The 9,911-nt window shown below is 39.1% G+C and overlaps 1 annotated feature.

Annotated features, from left to right (window-relative positions):
• Window positions 8,877-9,378: an enhancer, noted in NCBI's record as "NANOG hESC enhancer chr7:17638482-17638983 (GRCh37/hg19 assembly coordinates)". NCBI's record gives its function as "activates a minimal SCP1, AML or CMV promoter by ChIP-STARR-seq in primed H9 embryonic stem cells {active_cell/tissue: H9 hESC(primed)}" and the evidence as "EXISTENCE:reporter gene assay evidence [ECO:0000049][PMID:30033119]".

Below are 9,911 nucleotides of genomic sequence, written 5' to 3'. Positions count from 1 at the left end.
TACATTAAAAAGTCTTTAATCTAACGAGGTAATTTTTGAATATGGTGAAAAACAGAAATCCAGTTTCATTCTTTTGTATATGGATAGCCAACTATCCCAACATCATTTATTGAATAGGGCATCCTTTCCTCATTGCTTATTTTTGTCAACTTTGTAAAAGATCAGATGACTGTAGGTTTGCAGCTTTCTTTCTGGGTTCTCTATTCTATTCCATTGCTCTGAGAGTCTGCTTTTGCACCAGTACCATGTTACTATAGCCTTATAGTATAGTTTGAAGTTGTGAAGCCTTTGACTTTGTTCTTTTTGCTTAGGATTGTTTTGCTTAGGATTGTTTTGGTTACTCAAGCTCTTTTTTGGTTCTACATGAATTTTTTTTTCTTTTCTTTTTTTTTTTTGAGATGTAGTCTTGCTCCGTCACCCAGGCTGGAGTGCAGTGGCGCGATCTCGGCTCACTGCAAGCTCCACCTCCTGGGTTCACGCCATCCTCCTGCCTCAGCCCCCTGAGTAGCTGGGACTACAGGCACCTGCCACCATGCCTGGCTAATTTTTTGTATTTTTTTTAGTAGAGATGGGGTTTCACCGTGTTAGCCAGGATGGTCTCGATCTCCTGACCTCATGATCCGCCCGCCTCGGCCTCCCAAAGTGCTGGGATTACAGGCGTGAGTCACCACGCCCGGCCCTCTATATGAATTTTCAAATAGTTTTTAATAGTTCTGTGCAAAGTGACATTGGTAGTTTAATGGAATAGTATTGAATCTGTAGATCTCTTTAGGTAGTATGTCCATTTTAATATTGATTCTTCCAATCCAGAAGCATGGAATGTTTTTCCATTTGTTTGTGTAATCTATGATTCCTTTCAGCAGTGTTTTGTAGTTCTCCTCATGGAGCTCTTTCACTTCCTTGGTTAGGTGTATTCCTAGGTATTTTAATTTTTTGCGAGTATTATAAATGGGATTGAATTCTTGATTTGGCTCTCAGCTTGCACATTATTGGTGCATAGAAATGCTACTGACGTACAGTGTACATTGATTTTGTATCCTGAAACTTTACTGAAGTAGTTTATCAGTTCCAGAAGCCTTTTGACAGAGTCTTTAAGGTTTTCTAAATATAGACTCATATTTTCCAGAAGAGAGAGCGTTTGATTTCTTCTTTTCCTATTTGGATGCCTCTTATTTCTTTCCTTTTCCCCGATTGCTCTGGCTAGCACTCCAAGTACTATGTTGAATAGGAATAGTGGGAGTGGGCTTCTTTGTCTTGTTCCAGTTCTCAAGACAAATGCTTCCAAATTTTGCCTGTTCAGTCTGATGTTGGTTTGTCATAGATGCTCTTATTATTTTGAGGTATGTTCCTTCAATGCCTAGTTTGTTGAGGGTTTTTATCATGAAGGGATGTTGAATTTTATTGAAAGCTTTTTCCATATCTGTTGAGATGATCATATGGTTTTTGTTTGTAATTCTGTTTATGTGGTGAATCACCTTTATTGATTTGCATATGTCGAACTACCTTTGCATTCTGGGAATGAAGCCTATTTGATCATGGTGAATTAACTTTTTGATATACTGTTGGATTCAGTTTGCTAGTATTTTGTTGAGAATTTTTGCATCTATGTTCATCAGGGATATGGCCCTGTAATTTTCTTTTTTCACTGTGTCTTTGCCAGGTTTTGGTATCAGGCTGATACTGACTTTGTAGAATGAATTAGGGAGAAGTCCTTCATCCCATTTTTTTTAATACTTTCAGTACAATTGATACCATTTCTTCATTGTACATCTGATAGAATTTTGATGTGAATCCATCTGGTCTGGAAATTTTTTTGGCTGGTAGATTTTTTTCTTACTGATTACATTTCAGAACTTGATATTGGTCTGTTGTGAGTTTCGCTTTCTTCCTGATTCAGTCTTGAGAGCTTGTGTGTTTCCAGTTATTTATCCATTTCCTCTAGATTTTCTAGTTTGTGTGCATAGGGGTTTTCATAATAGTTTTTGAGGATTTTTTGTATTTTTGTGGGATTGATGGTAATTTCACTTTTGTTGTTTCTGATTGTGCTTGTTTGGATCTTTTCTCTTTTCTTTGTTAATTTAGCCTGTGGTCTATCAATCTTGTTTATCCTTTGGAAGAACCACCTTTTGGTTTTGTTGAATTTTTGTATGATTTTTTTGGGTCTCAATTCTGTACAGTTCTGCTCTGATTTTAGTTATTTTTTTTTCTTCTGCCAGTTTGGGGTTAGTATGTTTTTGTTTTTCTAGTTCCTCTAGGTGTGATGTTAGATTGTTAATTTGAGATTTAGCTTTCGAGGTAAGCATTTAGCACTATAAAATTTTCTCATAACACTGCTTTTGCTGCATCATAGAGACTTTGGTATGTTGTATCTCTATTTTCACTTATTTCAAATAATTTTTTTATTTCTGCCTTAATTTTGTTGTTTACTCAGAAGTCATTCAGGAACAGGTTGTTTAATTTCCATGAAATTGTATGGTTTTTTAGGGATCTTTAAATCCCTTTTAGGGTTTTATGTTTTTTAGGATTTTATGGATTTTATGGGATTTAGGGATTTTATGGTTTTTTAGGGATCAATAAAGATATTGACTTCTATCTTTATTCCACTGTTGTCTGAGAGATTGCTGGTATAATTTCCTTTCTCTCAAATTCATTGAGACTGGCTTTACGGGCAAGCATGTGGTCAATCTTGGAGTATGTTCTATGTGGAGATGAGGAGATTGTATAGTCTGTGGTTGAACAAAGTATTCTGTAGATATATATTAGTGTCAATTCGTCAAGTGTTCAATTTAAATTTAGAATTTTTTGGTAGTTTTCTGCCTCAATGATCTGTCCAATGCTGTCAGTGAAATGTTGAAGTCCTTAATTATTATTTTGTGGCCGTCTCAGTCTTTTCATGGGTCCAGAAGTACTTATTTTATGAATCTGTATGCTCCAATGTTGGGTGCAGGTATATTTAGGATAGTTAGGTCTTCCTGTTGATTAAAACCTTTTATCATTATGTAATGCCTTTCTTTTTCTCCCCCCATCCTTTTTTTTACTGATGTTGATTTAAAGTCTATTTTATTTAATATATGAATGGTCACCCCTGCTCTTTTTTGTTTTCCATTTGTGTGGTAGATCTTTCTCCAACCCTTTACTTTGATCCTATGGGTGCCATTATGCGTGAGATTGGTTTCTTGAAGACAGCAGATGGATGGGTCTTATTTCTTTTAGCCCAACTTGCCACTCTGTGCCTTTTAAGTGGTGTACTTAAACCACCTACATTCAAGTTTAATATTGATTTGTTAGGTTTTGATCTTACTGTGAAGTTGTTAGCTGGTTGCTTTGTAGTTTCTATTGTGTAGTTGCCTAATAGGGTATGTGGTCTATGTACTTAAGTGTGTTTTGTGGTCACAGGTATTGTTCTTTCATTTCCATGTTTAGAACTCCCTTAAGGATCTCTTGTAAGGCCAGTCTAGTGGTAATACATTCTCTTAGTGCATAGTTGTCTGGAAATGATTTTATTTCTCCTTCACTTATAAAGTTTAGTTTGGTAGGATATGAAATTCTTGGTTGGAATTTCTAGTCATTACGAATGCTGAAAATAGGCCCCCAAATCTCCTCTGGATAGTGAGGTTTCTGCTGAGAAGTCTGCTGTTAGCCTAATGGGGTTCCCCTGTACATGATCTGACCTTTTTTTTCCTAGTTGCCTTTAGGATTTTTTTCTTTAACATTGATCTTGGACAGTCTGATGACTATATGCCTTGGTGCTGTTTATTTTGTATAATATCTAGAAGGTTTTCTTTGCATTTCTTGTATCTGAATGTCTACCTCTCTACTAAGATGAAGGAAACTTTCTTGAATTATTCCCTAAACTATGTTTTTGAAGTTGTTTACTTTTTCTCTTTCCCTCTCAGGAATGTCAATAAGTCATAGGTTTGGTTGGTTTACATAATCCTGTATTTCTCTAACAGTTCTTTTCTTAAAATTCTTTTTTCTTTATTTTTATCTGTCAGCTTGAAAGACTGATCTTCATGCTCTGAAATTCTTTCTTCTGCTTTGTCCAGTTTATTGATAAAGCTTTCAATTGTATTTTAAAATTCCTTAAGTAAGATTTTCTTTTCTTTTCCCTTCTTTTCTCTTCTTTTTGTTTTAGAGATGGGGTCTCACTCTGCCTCCCAGGCTGGAGTTCAGTGGCACAATCATAGCTCAATGCAGCCTTGAACTCCTGGACTCAAGTGATCCTCCTGCCTCAGCCTCCAAAATAACTGGGACTATACGTGTGTATCGCAATACCTGGTTGAAAGTGAGTTTTTCAATCCCAGAGCTCAGATTGATTCTTTTAAAAATGTTTATCTCTTCATTCATTTCCTGGATTGCTTTAGAAGTTTCTTTGTGTTGATTTTCAACCTTGTCTTGGATCTCATTACTCTTCCTTGTAATCCATGCTTTGAATTCTTTATCTGTCATTTCTGAGTTTTCATTTTGGTTAGTGACCATTTCTGGAGAGCTAGTGTGATTCTTTGGTGGCATAAGTATATTCAGATTTCTCATGGTATCAGAATTCTTGCACTAGTTCCTTCTTATCTGGAGATACTGGAACTTCTAATTTTTATAATTATTTCATGCAGGTAGGATTCTTCTCTTTTTCCTTCCCTGTAATTTTTTTTTATTTCCCTTTCCCTTTCTCCTCCTCCATAGAGGGTGTAACTGTAGAAAATGCTGTGTAGAGTCTTTTGGCTTTGTTTCTATATCCTATGTACTTTTGTTAGCAGGATTTATGTTGGGCTGTGCAGTTCAACCTATAAGCCAGGATATCATGCTTCTAACAGCCAGATTGTGGCCAACATGCTGGGTATATACTTGATCCTTGTTTACTGGAAGAAACTCTCTGTTGCCTCAGGAAATGGGTTGATTCATGGAGTACACAGTGGTTTGAGCTCTCTGCTCAGCTGCAGGAGAAAGGGGGCCAAGATGGTCAGAGCCAGACCAGGCGTATCCATCTATGGGTCCCCCAATGGCAGGCACAAGCACCAGCTCTGAGGAAGAATCCAGTGGGTGGTGACTAAGTGCCCAGAGGTGTGTGTAGGTGTAGCGTTGGGAAATCTCCTCATTCCCAAGTTCTCTGCATAGAGAAGCAGGCAGCCTCAACTAATCCAGGAGAGTGAGTGCTCCAGATGCCTCAAGATCTGCCTGGGCATAGAGAAGAAAGCCCTCCACCACCACCTACACCAAGATCTTTGTGCAGGCAGGTGGGGCAGCTCAGGCTTCTGAACCAGGCAAGCAGGTGCTCTGAATGCCTTCAGATCTGCCTGGGTTTGAAGCACAGAAGGTCTCCCTATAACAGAATTTCTACACAGGAAGGGTGGGGTGGGTCAGGCCACTGCTCCAGGTGAATAGGCACTCCAAATGCCTAGATATCTGCCTGGTCATGGAGTGGAGACGGCCCTCCTGGACCAGGATCTCTGTGCAGGAAAGGTTGGGCAACTTAGGCTGCTGGCCCAGGTGAGGAAGTGCTCTGAATGCCTGGAGTTGTGCCTGCGCGTGGAGTGGAGAGGGCCCCAATGTTAGGCCATCTCAGGCTGCTGATCCAGGTGAGGAAATGGTCTAAATGCCTGGAGATCTGCCTGGGAGTAGAGTGGAGAGGGCCCTGCTTCACCATGATCTCAGTGGAGCAGGCTGGTGCACACAGCAATGGCACACTCAGACCAGTTTCAGGTTACCAAGGTGGCCCTGGCTGCAAATCTCATCACCCCAAAAAACTGCAGTGGTAGCAGCTCTCCTCCCACTCCACACCTGTGATGGGGGAGAGCACAATTCCAGGATCTACTCCTGAGGTACTTTCCACAGTCCTAGCTGTGGAGGCCCCTACCCTGCTTCAGAGCAGGTGCTGCAATCTCTGGCCCAAGAGTAAAATGCCTGTGCAGCCATGATGCTGTGTTACCGAAGAATGGCTGATTTTGTATGCACTCAGAATAAAAATGACATTCTCCTCTTGGTTCTGGCCTGGGAAAATGTCTACAGCTTTTCCCAATGTCTTTCTCTCACAGTATGTCCAAGCTTCTCCCCATTTTAGCTCCAGAGCTTAGGAGAAACAAAATGCTCTCCCTGGCCTGGGTTGCTCAGATCCTTAGGGGAAAGGTGAGTCATAGAGGGAGGCTCTCTGCCTCTCTCACATACTAGGGCTTCAGTCAATTTTATCAGCTGTACCTATATAGGGGCCATTTGCCTATATTCTCCTCCTCAGGAGGTAGTGTCCTTCATGTTTCTGGTAGATTTCCTTTTTCCTTCCTGAATTAAAGTTCACAAAGTTGATATGTGTGCACTGTCTTTCTATTTCCAAGTGGCTGAGGAATGCTAAAAGCCCCCCATCCACCAACTTGGGGAAAAAACCCCAAAGGACGAAAGCTGACTTTAACAGACTTGGATGCAATTTCTATTCCTCATTTAGCAGCAAGGTAGGAATCTCTGGACAAGAAATTATGAGCGGATTGGTAGCTCCATGTGGTGTGCTTTCTGAAGCATGAAGGAAAATTCTGCCTTAATTACACATTTCTGGCCCATTCTTTCCTCCACATTTGCTGATAGATGTCTAAAATTTCTTTAATGGCAACTTGCTGAGAAACTTTTAGGTTGAAAAATAGAGCAAGGTGTTTTAAATGCAAATATCCTCAGGGGAGGCAAAGCAATGATTTATCTTAACATATCCTGACTGGTAACTTGTGTTTTCTGGAAAACAGACTTATTGGAGTGTGGGAAAGGACTGGATGGCTGAGGTGGGAAAAACATGCTAAGAAAGGAAGCTGAGGACCTGATTTAAACTTTAGCCTCTCAATCCTGACCTGGCCTGTCATGCTGAAGAATGAGATGTTTCCTTGAGTTAGATTCAGGTGTGGCTAAGTCTCTGGTTTAAGGTGGTTCAATCACTCTATCAATGTGAGCCACGTGATCTTCGGAAAGTTACTTCTTTGTATTTGAGAACCCCCATTTGTAAAATCCGTTACTTCCAGGTTATTGTGAGGATTAAATTAATGTTTAATAAATATTAACTGCTACTGCAGGGCCCCTTTCTTAATTTAAAGCAGTCTCACTATAAGTAAGAATAAACACATTGTCTTAGGAGTGTTGTAGAAGGTGGATAATCAGGTTAACTGATTTATACATAAGTGATTGCCATTCCTTCCCTATATGCTTTCTTATTAAGGGTAGCGGTCCCCAAACTTTTGGAGAGGAGATGCTACTTTTTATTTTCCACACAGTTTGAAGTTACTAGGATGTAAATTAGAAGAGAGGTGTAGATATTGAAAAATCTCTGGGCAAGTTTAGGTGACCATGGGGTGATATGCTAATGTTGTCTCTCAGAGTGAAATTGCCCCTGAGAGATATCAGAAAGAGATAGTTTATCATCACTGGGAATTCTATCAAGCTGTGGAAAGGAGGCTAATCCTAAAAAAAAAGGTGGTCTAAGATTATTTTCATTTTTGAGTAAACTATAGCCAAGTGAACTGACTTGAATGAAAATCCCACAGATGAACTCTAAATCAAGGGTTCTTTTGATGACTTTATTCGGCCTTTCCCACACACTTCAGAAGTGAGCTGTGCTGCAAAAGTGCCAAAACCCAAAGAATATTGTAGAAGTCCATGTGGGACCTCTTAGTGGTAGAGCTGACCTCTCATGTAGGGTAGGGATGACCTTGTAAATAGTTTAGAAATACAATGTTTACATTACATCAGTATTTTCATAGGCCCTACCTACTTTGCGGCCAATTTTATGCTCTGGAGACACATACTACTTCCTGCCAGCTACCTAAACAGCCTTGAAGCAATGGGCATAATGACTCATGGTCATGTAACATTCTTTTCAGACACATATCAGCATATTTGTTATTACATTACTGCCCAAACACCCACAGAATCCCGGGAGGTAAAATAGGATTAGTGTTGAAGAATTTAGTCCCACCCATTTCTCTTTTATTCAAATCAAACTTTTGAAATGATCACTGTTGAGGGTTCATTTTTGCTTCTAATAAGGGATATGGTAAAGATGTGTGATCAGGCTGGTCTCAGTCTTTGGAGTCAAGCCATATTCTGGAACTATATTATTTGGAAACCACACCTAAATCATAGCAAGGAAGTCATCCGATATGAACCACATGATCCAACTTGCTGGTGTGAAGGTGCTGGCATTACATAGCACAGCACAGAATGGGAAACAAGAAGATATCCTATAAACTGTCCATTAGCTATTCAACATAGATAAGTGGTTTGCTTACAGCTGAAGCTGGTAATTTATGTCGAATAAAATGGTCAGATTCACCTGTCTCAGCCATAAATCTCGTGCCATACATCCTGGCTAATGACCAGATTCTTCTGCGTGATTTCCTAAACCGACCTGTAGATAGCATAAAGTACACGTAATATTTACAGTGCATATTGGATTAAGGGAGCAGCTATTTTATGCCAACAACAGGGCCACAAAGTACTAACACACACTGAGAGTCCATTACATGGGCATTGATTAATTTCACTGAATTTTTTTAAGTGCTAAAAGTGTTTTAGTAGTCCCTGAAATATTTATTCTCTTGCTTTTCAGAGCAATAGGGTTATTCATTTATTCGTTCATTTGCTAAATGAATGAATTAATGATTATGTATTAAAATATCTAATCTGAGCACTCACTCTAATCCTTACTTAGCTGAGTGAACTTTGGCAGTTAACCTTTCTGCTTCACTTTCCTCATATGTAAATAGGAAAATAATTGTGTTTATCTCCTGAGGTTGTTGTCATGATTAAATGAATAAATACATATGAAGTGCTTAGAATAGCTCTAAACATGACAATAAAATTTATTTTTTTTTTGTATTGGAGACACAATGATTATATTGCTGCCTACCAAATTACCCTAAAACTTAGTGGCTTAAAACATCACTTCTTTACTATCTCATAGTATCCATGGGCCATAAATCTGAGCATGGCTTACTTGGGACCACTATTTCACAGGTTAAAATTAAGGGGTCCACTGGGCTTAACTGAGGAAAAATCTGCCTCCAAACTCACATACATAATTGTTGGCAGGATTTACTTTGTTGATGGCTGTTGGGCAGTGATTGCCCTCAATTATTTGCCATTTGCATCCTTTCAACTTGGCAGCTTGCTTTGTCAAAGCATGCAACTTGAGAAGCTAATAGAGTCAGCTAGCAAGACACAACTCACAGTCTTTTACAACCTAATTATGGAAATGATATTCCATCACTTTTGACATATTTATTTCAGGTGAGTCACTAGGTCCAGCCCATGCTCAAATGGAGAGTATGATACAAGAGTATGAATACCAGGATTTGTGGATCACTGGGAGCCATGTGAAAAGCTGCCTATCATGATGGTGAACAACATAAACATGAAGATTATGTTTGTTAGGGGAGACAGATATAAAATACAAATACAATATCCATTACAAATTTTGATAAATACTATGGATTAGAAATATAATGTTTGATGACAAATTACAATACTGGTACTTGATTTGAGTTGGAGTATTTCAAATCAAGCCATCTCTTACAAAATAATATTTAATTTCAGATTTGAAGGATGAGTGGAACTACTGAGATGTAGAGCAGGAAAACAGACGAGTCTCTTTGGAAGAGTAAATAGATGACACATAGGCCCTGAGATGGGTGAGCACCTATGCATGGTCACTCCATGTAGCGTGGGTTCTCAGAGCATGGTGGCTAGTTTCTGAGATAGAGTGCTGCTTCCTGGAGCACTCCAAGAAAAGCAGAAGCTGCCAGGTCAAGGTATATAGCAGCCCTTCCAATGTATTTTATTGACCAAAATAGTCACAGGTTCAGACCCGAGTCAAGGGCAGAGGTAATAAACTTTACTGTTTGAATTGAGGAGCAGTCTGCTTATACAAGAACCAGCATAATTGTTTT

The sequence above is a fragment of the Homo sapiens genome, chromosome 7 (genome assembly GCF_000001405.40).
Source record: "Homo sapiens chromosome 7, GRCh38.p14 Primary Assembly".
Taxonomy (NCBI): Eukaryota; Metazoa; Chordata; class Mammalia; order Primates; family Hominidae; genus Homo; species Homo sapiens.
The sequence above is the reverse complement of the archived record's forward strand: the minus strand, read 5'-3'. Positions and strand labels throughout refer to the sequence as shown.